Source organism: Homo sapiens, chromosome 5 (genome assembly GCF_000001405.40).
Source record: "Homo sapiens chromosome 5, GRCh38.p14 Primary Assembly".
NCBI lineage: Eukaryota > Metazoa > Chordata > Mammalia > Primates > Hominidae > Homo > Homo sapiens.
In genome coordinates this window covers 21847884-21863696 of record NC_000005.10, presented here as the reverse complement: position 1 = coordinate 21863696, position 15813 = coordinate 21847884, and the positions used below count along the sequence as shown (strand labels likewise).

General features: G+C 33.3%; 1 protein-coding gene across 10 annotated transcripts in view; it reads left to right on the top strand.

The window, feature by feature from the left end:
• CDH12 (cadherin 12) overlaps positions 1 to 15813 on the top strand; it is a 1102672-nt gene that overhangs the window by 989648 nt on the left and 97211 nt on the right. For 9 of the 10 annotated variants that reach the window (NM_001364104.2, NM_004061.5, NM_001364106.2 and 6 more), the window contains one exon: positions 8907 to 9026. In NM_001364104.2, coding sequence (NP_001351033.1) covers positions 8907 to 9026 — 120 coding nt within the window. 10 annotated transcript variants of the gene reach the window in all.

The window sequence follows — 15813 nt, the reverse complement described above, 5'->3', positions numbered from 1 at the left end:
AGTACATTAGAAAATTCAATATCAGCAGAACCCCCAATTTAGTATTGAAAATGACTCTAAAGATCATAACCAGCTACCAGGTCACTCTTTACAGAATTCTGTGTATTGTATTTCTGTCTTTTCTGTGTAAAAGTCTATGTGAGTACTATACATATCTAATCAATAAACATTTATTTTGGACTTAATGACAGATCTCTGCTAGGTGCTGGGTGTATAAAGATAAATATGATAAGGCTGTTGGTGTAAAATTGTTTTACTATAGTAAGAAAAAACATGTACTGAGTTTTGAAAGCTCAAAATATTCTAAGTGTGATGAGATTATAGAGGAGTGAACAAATTATCTCTGTTTGAGATCAGAAATGAAAGAGTTCACACAAGTGACATGGACCTGGACATCAACGGTGAGGCAAATGTCCTCCAGGTAGCAGAATCACCTATTCAAGACCGCAGAGGCATGAAAGAGCCTCATCATAAACAGTAAATAAGTGTGAGTAGTCACAGCATGGGGTCTCTGGCAGCACAGTTGGAATCTAATCTACAAGGCACATTTGAAATCTGTTCATGTCACGCTGTTCAGAACATGTCAATGAGTTTAGATGATTTTTTAAAAATAGGGATAGAAACCCCTTAGAGCTTTATGTGTTTTTGTTCTGTTTTGTTTATTTCCATTTTATTTTTGTAATCAATGAAAGTAATAGGATCAATCTTGTGAGTTGGCTCAAAGACTCCCATGTTCCTATGTTAAAGGAACTGAAGGGGCTGAAGGAGAAGGCAGACAGGATTCATTTCAGCTTTCCAATTGTGAGAAGGTGAGGACCTCAACCTGTTAAGACAATGGCAGAGTGATAAAAAGCAAGAGCACATGCAATTACTAGAATATTCCTATACATATGGAAAATCTTAAAAATATTTTCTAGAGGCCATATATTCAATATAATCTGCTTATATTTATCTATTTTCTGTCTTCCTAGCAAGTTTATTTAATACTTCCAATGGAAATAATACCTAGAATACAAAACTGTCATGCTAGAAGTAGCATTTTACAAAATAAATAATTATGTAACATACTTTTTATATTGTTCATTGAAAGTAGCATCTGGTGCATAGTATACAAATGTAAATACTTATTGATTGAAAGAAGACATGAATGAATTAACAAAATTGATTGAAAGAAGACATGAATGAATTAACTATGACTACTTTAACTGAAACTGTGACTTAGTGGGGCTCAGTTCCACTCTCAACTTCCTACCTTTTGGATGAGAATGTCTTTAAGTACCAATAAGAATGATTTTAACATCACTGGCCTTCAAGTATTGGATTGTAAAATGGAAACATTGTGCCAGATGATTCTTAAAATTTATCCCAAGCCTTTATATTATTAGTCTTAATTAAATCAAATAAATAAAAGATGATTATTACATGATACATAAAATAGCAGAAGCAAGCCCTCTGTAGTTATGTCATGAAATTAAGCTGGCTTGCCTGGTCTGGGCTTCAGAACCCATACACTCATTGTATAGAAATTCAGAAGACTAAACTATAAAACCCACATAAGTTTACCAAACACAACTAAAGGATAATAGTTGTTAAGGTGTATATACCACACATGCACACATAGATATAAACACATTCACACGAAAGAAAACCATTTAAAATAACCACATAAAAATGAAACCAAATAAAGATAAGTTAGTAAATTAACCTTTCAACAGATAGACACAGATATAATACATGAAAAAAGTGGGTTAAGAAAGAGTGCAGCTTATACACACACACACACACACACACACACACTAGAAATGACCAAAAACTACATGCTGTTAAAGTTCAAGCATAAAATAAAAAATACATATAATTAGGATATGGGCTGATGAGAATGTTAGAAAATATACCTTGTTGATAGGAATGTAAAGAAGTACAATTTCTGATAGTCACCTTGACAATACAGCTCAATATGTTGAATCTATATGCTTTTTGATCCAGCTGTGGCAATGGCAAGAATTTACTAATAGCAGAATTGTTTGTAATAGAGGAAATAAACAAAATCCTCTTAACAAAGTGTCCGCTGAAAGGAAATTGGTTAAAAATTGTGAGATGGATTTTTATGTGCTTTTATAAAATGCCTGTTCAATATATTTAATGAATAAAATAAGGTTCAAGAAATTACACTGGAAAACAACAAAATTTAATCACAGATGAAAATACTATGTAAATCAAATCGTCATTACAAATTGTAAAGTACTACTCACTTTGTTACATTCTCACTCAGTATATTTTTATTTTAGTTAAGCTTTCATGTAATTTTAAATTAATGCAATTGCACCATACAATAAGTATAAATTGTGTGCAAGTATACTAAATTTCTGTTTTGTATTGGGGAAAAATTAATGTGTAGTTAGTTATATCTCTTTCATGTTAATAAAAACTGAAATACAGGTTAGTGGGTAAGTATACTAGATAGGTAGAGATAATGAGATAAAAATAAATCAATGTAGAAAGGGTAGTTAAACCCCACAGGAGTCCTAACAGTGGCTTAAAAAGTCATACATGACCATTTTCTCTGCCACCTCTTCCATCTGATTTTTGATCCGCAGTGAAGGTGGCTCTGATATTCCTGAGGTTTCCCTCAACACTTTCAGGACCTTTTTCACCCAGAGCTGCCTCTGCATGGAATTAAAACTCACAGAAGCAGTGAGTAGAATTGTGGTGTATTAGGGTTTTCTACAGGGACAGAACTAATGGATCGATGTATGTATGAAGGGGGGTTTATTAAGGAGTATTGATTCACAAGATCGCAAGGTGAAGTCCCACAATCAGCCATCTGCAAGATAAAGAGCAAGGAAGCCAGTTCAAGTCCCAAAACCTCAAATGCAGGGAAGCTAACAGTACAGCCTTCAGTCTGTAACTGAAGGCCTAAGAGCCCCTGACAAACCACAGGTGTATGTCCAAGAGTCCAAAAGCCAAAGAACTTGGAGTCTGATATTTGAAGGCAGGAAGCATCTAGCACAGGAGACGGATGAGGGCCAGAAGACTCAGCAAGTCAGCTCCTTCCACCTTATTCTGACTGCTTTATTCTAGCTGCACTGGCAGCTGATTAGATTGTGCCCACCCAGATTGAGAGCAAGTGAGCTTCTCCCAGTCCACTGACTCAAATGTTAATCTCCTTTGGCAACAACCTCACAGACACATCCAGTAAAAATAATTTGCATCCTTCAATCTAATCAAGTTGACACTCTATATTAACCATCACAAGTCCACCTCTTGTCAACTTGAACCCATACACAACTCCTGAAGTCATACATAATCCCCAAATAAAGACAACAATAAGGTCATAATTACACCTAACTTAATACAGTTATCCCTCATACAACCCGAAGCACACTAATCCTTAACCTAAATGCTATTACATAAAGTTAACAACACTTAAATGCTGATATGAAATCAATAAATCTTGTGTCACATGATAAAGAAAATGAAGATATTTTTCTTAGTACAAATGTATACATGCACAAACATATTCTTAACAAAATAAAGAAAAAGTATTCATGACAATTACAGTACTCATTTCTGCAACGAGTCACGTGGTCGTGGCTGGTATAGATGATGACCTTCTTCTACTACCCATTCTGTATTCCCTTTTTCTTCAGCAAGCACCTCAGCAGGTCATGTTTTTTTTTTACCTGGTGGAGTGACCCAAACCTTCATTTCTGAAGAGTCCGGGCCAATTGTGTCTGCCTGGATTGGGTGGTTGTAGTTTCCCATTGATGTTAATCACAGGCCATGGTAATACTAAGAGATGCCCTAAGAGATTTCCTGTATTCCACACATACTCTTCTTTACCTCCATCGTGAAGTAGTAAACTGATTTCACCTTGATAATCCAGGTCAATCATGCCAGCCAACACTGTAACTCCCTTCTTAGCCTGTTAACTTAGAGTTAGCAGGAGCCCAAACTGGCCAGGTGGCAATCTTAACTTCCAGTTTAATGGAATCATTGTTGTATCTCCTGGTGTCAGCATTTCTCCCTCTGGAACTAAGACTACTAGGCCAGCAGAATGTAATGTCGCAGAAACAGGAAGCAAGAAGTTTGCTAGTGGATCACTAGGGGTGATGGTGAGTGGTTCCGTGTCCACCCTTTGATTTCTGGACTGGTGAATCCTGGCTATGCGAGAAATGGTACCATATATTGGACACTGATTCAGAGCATATACAGCCTTCTGGAGAACTGATTGGATTGAAGGCAGAACCAGGTGGAGGTAATCAGATCATGGAGGCGGTTTCCCCCATGCTGTTCTCATGATAGTGAGTGGGTTTTCATGAAATCTGATGTTCTTATAAGGGGCTTTTTCCCCTTTGCTTGACACTTCTTCTTCCTGCTCCCCTGTGAAGAAGGTGCCTTTCTTCCCCTTCACCTTCCCTCCTGATTGTAAGTTTCCTGAGGGCTTCCCAGCCATACTCAACTATGAGTCAATTAAACCTTTTTTCTTTATGAATGACCCAGCCTCTGGTATTTCTTCATAGCAGTATGAGAACAGACTAATACAGGTGGTTAGGGGAAACTGAGTGACTAGGGAGATGTTGCTCGAAGTATACACAATTTCAGTTAGACAGGAGAAATAAATTCTGGACATCTAGCACACAACATGGTGACTCCAGCTAATAGGAATATATTGTATTCTTGAAAATTGCTAGGAAAGTAGATTTTAAGTGTTCTGACTACATAAAGGGATACATATGTAAGGGAATCCATAAGTTAATTAGCTCAGTTTAGTCATTCCACAATGTATACATATTTCAAAACGTGCTCTATACAAGAAATACATACAATATTGTCAAGTAAAGAATAAATAAATTAGGGGGAAAAGGAAAGTGCAAAAAATTATTCAGGTCTCTACATAAATGAAATTTTACAAAATTGCTTTTCCTGATTACCATCTAAAATCTCTCACCTCGAATCTGTTTCTCCTCCCATTCCCCTTTAGATAAGATATAAGATTTCAGGAGTTGGTCTCTCAATTTTGTTCAAGGTGTTTCCCTAGCACCTTGGACAGTGTGCCTGGCACTTCATATACTCATTAACTTGAGTGGAGTAATTACAAACTATTAAATCGTTCTGTGCATTTGTGTCTGTGTAAATGTATTGTCTGACCATATAAGACATTACATGTATGAATTCTCAAATGTATTGTCTGACCATATAAGATATTATATGTATGAATTCTCAAAATTGAATCTAAAAAGTGAAACATTATACTTTTTATTAGTGTTTTCAACATAATTTGGACAAAAAATATTGACTCAAATTTAAGTTAATTCATCTAGGTAATGTATGCCTGTTTAATAAGTCTATCAGAGTTTTATTATGATATGAATGTTTGCTTGCGAATTACTGAGATCACATTATGTTATGACTATAATTTTACAACATAGAAATAAATTATGCTTTACTAAGTTGTTAAATTTCCACATATAGTTTAACATATACATATCTGTATACTAAAATGATATGTTATGAACTGACTTGAATCCTCCTGAAATTCATATGTGGAAGCTCTAACCATGAATGTGACTGTATTTGGAGATAGACCCTTTCAGGTGGTAATTAAGGTTAAATGAAGTCCTAAGGGTGGGTCCTAATCCAATAGAAGTGGTGACCTTATTAAAAAAAAAAGGGAGATACAACAGAGAGGAGATCCTCTCTCTGTCTCTCTCTCTCTCTCTGTCTCTGCCTCTCTCCCTCTCTCTGTCTGAGCACAGAGGAAAGGGCATAGGAGAACACAGTGAGAAGCCAGGAAGAGAGGTCTCATCAGAAACCCAATTTTTCTGCTCTTTGATCTCAAACTTCCTGTGTCCAAAATTGTGAGAACGTAGATTTCTATTGTTTAGGACACCCAGCCTGTGGTATTTTGTTATTGCAGCCTGAGCTGACCAATACAATATCCAAATCGGATCTCATGTGAATTCTAACTCATAGTCATTTAAATGTTAGTGATCACTTATTTAGTTGGAGTTTGTATCATGTGGGCATCTCCTGATGCCTCTTCGTCATAGTTCTGTCATACTCAATGATCAGTTTCTCTGTTCTTTGCTTTATCATAGTTTTATAAATATTTATTCCCTTTGAGTGACAGTATAAGATATAGAATATAGTTATTACTATAAAATAACTTTTATTGCTGGCTTTGTTACTAAATATACACTAATTTGTTACTGAACAAAGCAGTGTTATATGGGAACTTGAAGTGACTTGATACTCTCCATTGCAAATTCTGCACTCTGGCCCTGACCACTTATACAAGAGTGTTTTCTCTATGAGCTGCATTCTCTCTGCAGATATAACCATTTAGAGTGGTTATATTGTCATCCCTGGATTCAAATGATAAGAGAATAAATTTCAAGCTCACTGCTACATACCAGACTACTTCAGATTCTGTGCAAATCATTGACTGTATTATTTCCTTGTGGCACATTAAACATGCCCCAACCACAACCTCCTGCTCTTACCTCCTGGGTATTTAGTGTTTAATAGTGTCAGGAACAGCTGGTGTGCTATCCAAGCACTGAAAAAGGTAGTCCTCGGAGATTTGCATGCTCCAGGCAATTGACCGAGACTTCTTAATGGAAAGAGTATGAAATCTCTGTCTTTTGCATGAGTTTGGTGACAGTCATCAAGCAGCTGACAAAGAAGCTGCTATCGTGGTGTTTAGTTCCATTCTTGTAAACACCCAGAAAGGCAATCTTTAAGAACTTTTGGAGAATTTACATTGGAATCTGCTCTTTCACTAAAGAAGGATTAACCTATACTGTAATTCAGTGGACAATTACTTTTAATTCTATAGATACAGCTGAAGAAATATGATAGGAATGCAGTTATTCTTGCTATCCAGTGATCCTTTTAAGTAGCACAAAGTGGGGTTTTATGAAAAAATATTTGCAACTTCGATGCATTAATGAAGTATTTTCCAATTCACTCCTTTAAATATTTGAGCTGTAAAAATAATTAATATAAACAATTTAATACAACTATTAGAAGAACATATTTGTTCAGCATAGTGGAGGGTCATGTAAACATTAAAAACAAAAATGTGAAAGTAAAGACAATACGTGTTCATCTTTATTTTCCCGACTATAAATTGCAATACGGTATTAGTTTGGCAAATTTTATTAATGTTTTTCACTAAATATTTCTTATTTCTCAAATATTTTAATTTCCTATTTGTGACTAAGTATAATACTTTCATTTTCCTCAAATATACCCAACATGTAGAACAATTTATAGTTTTTCAATTGTAATATTTATATCCAGAATTAGGACAGTAGTGAATATTTGTAGACTTTGCCTATATTACACATGTATAGTGGAGGGATAGAAAACATCCTGATGAATATTCTGGGGGAAAATGCTGTTGGGAAGAGAGGACTTTACTCTTAATAAACTGTTGATTTCTACAGGATTATAGAAAGGTAGTTTTAATGAATCTTTAATACAGATACCCAATGCTGGGTAGAAATAAACATTGGTCAAATTGTGTTTAATGATAGTGATGATGTTGATGATGATGATGGTGATGATGATGGATAATATTAGTCTTCACTCCTGACTTCCTAGTAATGTTTATCTACATTCTCTCTAAAAGTTCCCTCTAAAAGTTTCTTTTCTTGGGAAAGGCTGCTGTAATATATTTTTCCTCTGTTAATATAGCCAAGATTCACTCAACCATTTTAAACTGAAAGACCTTGGCATTGAATGTCTACAAAAAGTTATTGTTTCTTACTCTTGTCACAACCCTAACATTTTATTAAAAGAAAATGGTAGAAATGAAAAAGTAATTCATTCTTTTAGCTTCTATAGTAATCTAGGAAGACATGGTTTGCTCCAAATTTGTACTCTTAGAGAAAAGGCTGAATGAGTAATGGAATGAAAAGGAACAATCCTATTTTCACTAAACAGAATAGTTACTTTGAGTGCCTCCAGCAGATTAAGGGAGTTCTGCTCACTGCATAACTTTGGATGTACACGTGTATGTGTGTATATACACATATATATACATATATACACATACATATATATATATGTCTATTTTATTTGCTACAATTTGGGTACTTTTGATTACACTTTGTTCTGAACTCAGAATAGTAACTTGAACAGGATATTAGGAAGAGATACTCACTTTAAAAGTTTTTAGAGACTGATTTCAATATGCTTATGAACAGATAAGGAAAATACAAAGAAAAGCTCCCTTCAACTTCTTTTAGTACAGAAAAAATATACCCATGCCAAAAAAAAATTAGGAAAGCTGCAGATCATTTGACTGTGGTGTCTTCTTATGTCACTATATCTTTAGGTTAATTCAATCTTGAGGCAAAGAAGTGCTCTTATAACTATTTTGCAATTATTTATGGTTTCTCAATTTCTCAAATATTCCTTTTCTAATTAAAGACTTCCTGATGCTAGTAGGTAGTTGTTAATTTTTAAATTGCAATTGCAAATTACTTAACAACCTCTAATGTTCAGTACACTCTAAACCTTTTAGCCTCTCTATTGATATCCTAATCATAAAATTAAAACATCAATAGTAAGCAGATGAGCTAATATAAGTGGTGTCCATGCTTTCTTTGGTGTGCCAATCAATAAAGGTATCATGATGACTTTCATTTCGATGATCCAGCTCCTGGAAATGGACACAACTTTTAAAATGCGTATTTAAACTTATGATTTGCACTAACTATATCATTGCTCAACATTTTGGTTATAACGGTTAAACTATCCTCAGTGACATCATGTACTCATGGTGTACTTGACGTAGGTCAAATACCAAAGGAAAATCGAGTCCAGCAGATAAGAGTCATGACCTTGAAAGTAGTAAAACAAAAATGCTAGAGTGATATTGTCTTATTTTCCAGGTGCATATGTACTCCAGGTCAAGGCCACAGATGCAGATGACCCGACCTATGGAAACAGTGCCAGAGTCGTTTACAGCATTCTTCAGGGACAACCTTATTTCTCTATTGATCCCAAGACAGGTAAATTTTTTATTAGAGGCAACATTATCACCAGCCCTTCAAATATTTAAACTTTAATTAAATCTTGGCATGGGGAGTTGCATATTCTAATATAGCCATAAAGCTTCAGTGCGATGCGCATTAAGCAAAGAAGATGGGATCTTTCCTTGCTGCTGAAGAACGATCTCCATTTAAGTGAACTTTGTGTAAAATAAACCTTTTAACATATCTTTCTAAAGTTCAAATTTGTTAGGTAAGCAGTCAATGTTGGTCTTATTTAAAATTTTCAAAAGTCTACTTTAAAACAAATTCTTCCAGCTATAATAGCTTTTCATTTCATATTTATTGGATGGGTTCAGTTATACTTAGTTTTGGGCTTTAACAATACATGGTAACATCCTGGAGCTTCTATTGCTATATATATAAGGGTTATTAATGCTTGGTTTAGATTAATAGAGACTTATGCTTATAGTGGGAGAAAGGAGAGACTTGACAATCTTGCAATACCAAAATCATTGATTTTGTTTGCCTATATCTTCAAATCCAGTCCCATTGTTAATTGAAAAATAGCAGTTTTCAAATTCAAATACAATATGAGTAGCATAGGAAGGGCAGGAGGCTATGCATGTGGAATATTTTGTCTTTCCTTTTAAATAAATGAGGTCACTCTATTTCTAAACAATCAATATCTGAATGTTGAATACTTTGCTAAGAAGACTCGACCACTTCACCGATGATCAGAGTAGGCCTTCCATGTCACAGTTGAAGCAGAAACCCCACAACGATGGTTATTTTGTCAATACTTATACACTACATTAGAACATATTGCAAATTGAATTTAATATGATGTATTACGTGAACTTAAAATAATGGAAAACTGTTCTCATATGGAACTAATAAGTTACCTTTTAAATTTGTAAATTGATTTTTAAATACCAACATGCATTTGAGAAGTATACGTTTCAGACACTATACATTCAAATAAGTTAAACATTTTATAATTGATACTTCCTGAGAGGTATGTGTAAAAATCTGGTATACGAATTAGATATAAGTTAATTAACAATTAATTATGTATTAATGTTGCCTGGAAACTTAAGGTCTACTGATGTTTCTTAACAAAAGTTGAGGTGCAAAATCTGCAAAACTTTTTGTCAACTGAACCTGCCATTCTCTCTTAATTTCTTATCCTCCTCATTAAGCCAATAGGGGCCAGAAGTCATCAAAAAGTTAAAGGACTAAAACAGGGAGTCACTCCGTTATGTAAACCTGAAAAGAGGGTAGAGTTTAATAAGGACAGCATCAGTCCTTCGAGAACTCCACTAAGAAGGGAGTATCGGTACTGAAGAGAATCCAGAATGGCTTAGGACAAAGAAGCTCCTCTGATTTCGATAGAGTTTTGGAGAATAAAAGCCAGTCTGTCAAATGTTAAAAGTGAGTGCATGATGAGAAAATTACACCTTACCATACAAGTGATTTTTTCAAGAAATATGGCAGTAAAGATAAGAAAATGTTTAGCAATATCATCTAAAAGGAAGTTTTGTGATTTTTTTTAGCTGTGAAAAAAATCTTATATATATTTTTGTAGAAAAGGTGGGTAAATTGAAAATAAAAAGAGATTGGGGAAGTTGTTCAATGAAGTTTATGATCCTACAGTGTTCCGGAGGAATTAAGAAGGCCTGGACAATAGGCTGAATATATGAAAATAATAAAGGAAATTATCTAAAATATTTCATTTTATCAGATGGGGCCACTATGGGTTATTTTTTTCTTGTATAGTTATGTATCCTTTTGAGGTTTGCTATAATGGGTAATCTGACCAGAAATGGAAGTATGGACAATGCTGTTCTCTTAGATCCCTTCAGCTTATGAAGAACACTCCTGAGAGACAAGAGGAATAAAAGAATAAGAAAAGTAGGTGTATAGAGATTGGTGAAGAAAGAGAGTATTAAAGGTCACTTACTGGATTACAATGATAAATTCTATAAAGTAGGTGAGTTTATATACTCAGAATAAGAGTGAGTATTCTCTTAGAATGAAGGATTTAGCATTAAGAATTTAATATTGGTAAAATAACTGTGGATAAAACCATATCTAACCTTTAAAAAGCAAGATAAAAATCAAACAAAGATAAATTTAAACGTAAAGGATGGGTTAAAAATATAATTTTTATGGTCAAATGAATACCAAACAACTTTATGAACCAAAAAACATACTCTTCCCTTGATTTCACTTGGCCAATATCAACTTTCAACCTATTCTAGTATGTTTAAAAAGTTTGTTTTACCATACAGTACGTGAATATGTAATGTAACTTTTATAATTTTGTATTTATATTTTATATAATGTTTATTATTTAGAACGAAGAGTGAAACAATTCTGTCGTAAGCTATGTAATAGATTTTTGAAGCATTGATTTTCACTGGAGACAGAAGTCTTGATATTAACAGTACCTTAGACCACTAGGCAGGAAAAGAGTGGATGATGAAGCACTTCATTAAGAGAATGAAAACTAGTTCTTCATGCACAGAAACCATTAAGAAGACTTTTTGTCAAATTTATCACCTTGTGGTAGATAAGAGTAAATCAAAAATCAAGGATAATTGCAATTTCTCAGAAATAGTCTCCATTTGTTCCAGCCATATAGCTTCCCTTTATGATTTCTTTGCTGTTATTAAATAAAACGCATGAAAAACTAATATTATCTGAAATTTTCCACATTTGAGTGTAGAAAACAGCTTAAAACAATTCTGAAAAGAAAAGTCTCATCAAAACCTCTGGTGCCTAAATATTTATGAAGAGATACAGAGATCATTTTGTGTTTCATTTGAAATGAGAAAATAAAAAGATTTCTGTATTGACACTGCTGTTTGACAAACATTCCCAGCATCTCTATCTAAGTGGATATGGCAAGTTCATTTCTAAACAATATAAATTGATACATTCTAAACAGTATAAACTCATTTATTCCATGAAATAAACCAATAAATAATAGTTCTTTTAAAATCAGTGTATTTGACAATTGTTTGCCTTAACTATGAAATAATTTACTCTGAGTTAAAATCCAGATGCATTCATTTATATGCTTTAGATGATTAGTAAATGACATTTAAAACACTCAAAATGTAGCTACAACTATAAAACATTAAACAATTATGTTTATTATACTTAACATTTATAAAACATTAAAATGTTTTATATTAACATATTGTATTATTTTATTATATAAATTATTTCACTTAATGTTTATAAAATATTTATAAACATCTATAATCTATAAAACATTAAACAAGAGCAAAAATATTATAATATTTAATTCAGTGATTGAAATCAGGATGCTGAACATCTCAACAGTTTTGATAATAGAGTAACTCCATTTAAGAAAACAAATATTAGTATAAATGATGAACTCTTATGTCTTAATTTAGTCTTAAAATTCTGTTAATGTATTTAAATTTTCCCTAAATGATTCTAAATAACTAGTCTGAGTTCAGTAACTAGGTATTGCCATATTTCATATCATATGGTAATGATATGCTGTATTCTAAATGATCTGAGCTCTACTTGAGAACACATTACAATATTATTTTACCTCAATATCCTCTTGTTAATCTATGAAATTGTTTTTTTCCTATCATGGTAAAATATACACAATATAAAATTGACAATTTTTACCATTTTAAGTGTACAATTCAGTTGCATTAAGTATGTTTACACTTTTGTCAAACCATTACACCATCTAGCCAAAACATTTCTCTCCGTATCTCTTAATTTACATGCATTGTGAAAAATACGTCCTTTATAAATGTTTATTTTACATGTTTCTACATGTATTTATAGAATTCATATTAAAAAAAACAATTGAGTGAGAATAGAGTTGCATGAGATACTTTAAAAGTTTTTTATTTCCTGTTCTGATATTTCTTGCTGTGTGATCCTGTTCTAAATTCTGCTTAAGGAAACATGATAAAGTTTGCCCACATGACTGATACTTTCCCAAGACTTTTGCTCTTGAGTCTATCGACCTTTCATTCAGAGATAATTATCTTCAAGCCTATCTCCCAACGAAACCTCCTCCTATAGCTTGACCGATATTATTCTTGTATGTCTTCTAAAATATGTTGGTGTTATAAAAGCTTCATATTAAAATTAAAGCTTGGGCCAATAACTCTATATTTTGAGCTAACACTTTATGATACTATAGACATACTTAGGCTTATGACTTGAACATTATTTTAAAAATTTATTTTGTATATCACATATATAACATGCTGTCATAAGAGATACACACACACATATAAATGGTTTCTATAGTAGAACAAATTAACATACCCATCATCTTACTTATTCATTCTCCCCCAACTACCCCTGGCTCCTCCTCATGGCAAAGAAAGTTATAATCTACTCGTTTAGCAAAAATCCAAAGTACAATACACTATTATTAACTCTAGTCCTCATGTTGTATATTAGATCTTTTAACTTGTTTATCTTGTATTTTTGCTATTTTGTATCCTTTGACCTACATCTCCCCATTTTCTCTCCCATACCCTGACCCTTATAATCTTTCTTTTATTCTTTACATGTGTTACCTCTTTTTTTAGATTCCACATATAAATAAGATCACACAATATTTTTATTTATATGCCTGGCTTATTTCACTTAGAACACTGTCCCCCAGGCCTATCCATGTTGTAGCAAATGGCAGGATCTCCTTTTTTAAGGTTGAATAGTATTCCATTATATGTGTATACCACAGTTTCTTATTCTGTTTGCCCACTGATGAACAACTACTTTGTTTTCATATATTGACTATTGGGAATAATGTTGCAATAAACATGAAAGTGCACATGTCTTTATGAGGCGATAATTTCATTTCCTTTGGGTATAGACCCAGAAAAGGGATTGCTGGGTCACATGGGGATAGAGCATTCTTTTGATATTAATTCAGAATAAAATCTGTAGAACTGAGTAAGACACCTCAGTTGGTACTGGTGAAATAAATTATATCTTCTTTCTTTAAGGGCAAAATAAAAGAGTCTTTTCCAACACAATGAAGTCACTCTTTTAATACTTTTTGCCAGAATAAATAAGTTGCCAGGAAGCATTAAGGCAAGAATTGATTATGGGATAGCAAAGGCAAGGAAATCAATAGACGCTAATAAATATAAGGAAAGAAAACTGTGTCAAGGAAATAAATAATTATTAAGATAAAACAGCACATATTATTACCTATTTTGTAATATTATGATCGTGTAGTAAATTCCATGCCCAGGAATGCACTGCAGGCAATCATTTTCTTGTATTCTGCATTGTCAGACTTCAGGTAGATTCTGGGTGAGTTCCATTTGCTTTATTTTAGAAATCATGAGATGAACACATCAGCAAAAATAACTAAGGATGTTTGGGCTTGAAAGGAAAATATTCCGGAGGGATGTGATATATGCCTTTAGCAAGTTGTAGAGCTGTCATGTAGAAGAGGAACTAGATGTATTCTGTGCTGCTTGAGAGGAAAAGAGCTATCAATACATAGTGTGAGTTACAGGAAGAAAGAATTCTGGTTTCATATATATACATATGTAGAAAAAAGATAAGAATAATACCATATATAAGAATGATAACTCATTAGATTGTGAGTTTCACATTACTGGATGGGTTAAAGCAGATGATGAGTAATGAACTGGTGGTGTTGGATTTGATTATGTCATTTGATGCACATGTATCTATAACATACGACCTGACAGGTCCTTTGCTATTGGGAGACTAAGATGAATCAAGTAGATCATCAAGTAGATCCCTATCTAGTAGGGGGAGCTCATCAGGTCTTCAGAAGATTATATGTGAGTTTTCTGGTATATAATCCTCTGATGCTACTATGGGACACTAGACTGATTGAAGGGATGAGAGCTTCTGGAAGAAAGAACTCCTGGAGGAAGTGGCTCATAAGTCCTATAGGAGAGTTAAGACATGATACAGTTAAGAAGTTGGACAATATGGCCCCTAAATTTCTTACTGAAGATAACCTGATAACTCTTCTTGTCTTTCAAACACATTAGCAAAAAATTTAAAAAATCATATACAAATGCAATGATGAACATAACATTTGAATAAATATTATTCAAGAATGTACTAGTATTTTTAAAAAATCCATTTTACATTTTAGGCTAATTTAACACTAAAATGAAATGAAACTCAGTAACTTTGCACATAAAATAATGCAAAATCTGCTCTCTCATAACTGTAATGTAACTGAGCTATGGAATTGAAAACAGAAACTTATATTCTCACTGCTGAAGTTACGTTTTGAGTACTATCATTACTCTTTTTTATCCTTCACCTTATTAGCTATCTCTAACATATTTGTGCATTAAAATACTGTTTTTAATGTTTCCTCCAAATCTTTATTAAAAACAATTAACAATGACTTGGTTCACACTGGAGTCTATGTTTAACTAGGAGAGATCTCTTTCAGGTCTAATCAAAAACATTTTCATGATACAATAGCTATAATACCCCTAGGTAAATACTAATAACCCCACCTTCTTCAAAATTACATCATGAGTATTTGGGTCAATAATGATGAAGATTACAAGAACTATGTTACATCATAATCTCTCCTGAAGGATAAACACTTATTTGCCATGTGTTACCTCAGCTAGCATTATGCACTACTTTATTTATTTTACTAATATTTATTGAGTGCCTACTATATGCCTGGTATTCTTCTAGCTAGCCATTTTCCAGGGAAGAAGAAAGTAAAGACAAAAGTCCCTGCCTTCAGCAACATACATTCAATTTGAGGAAACATAAA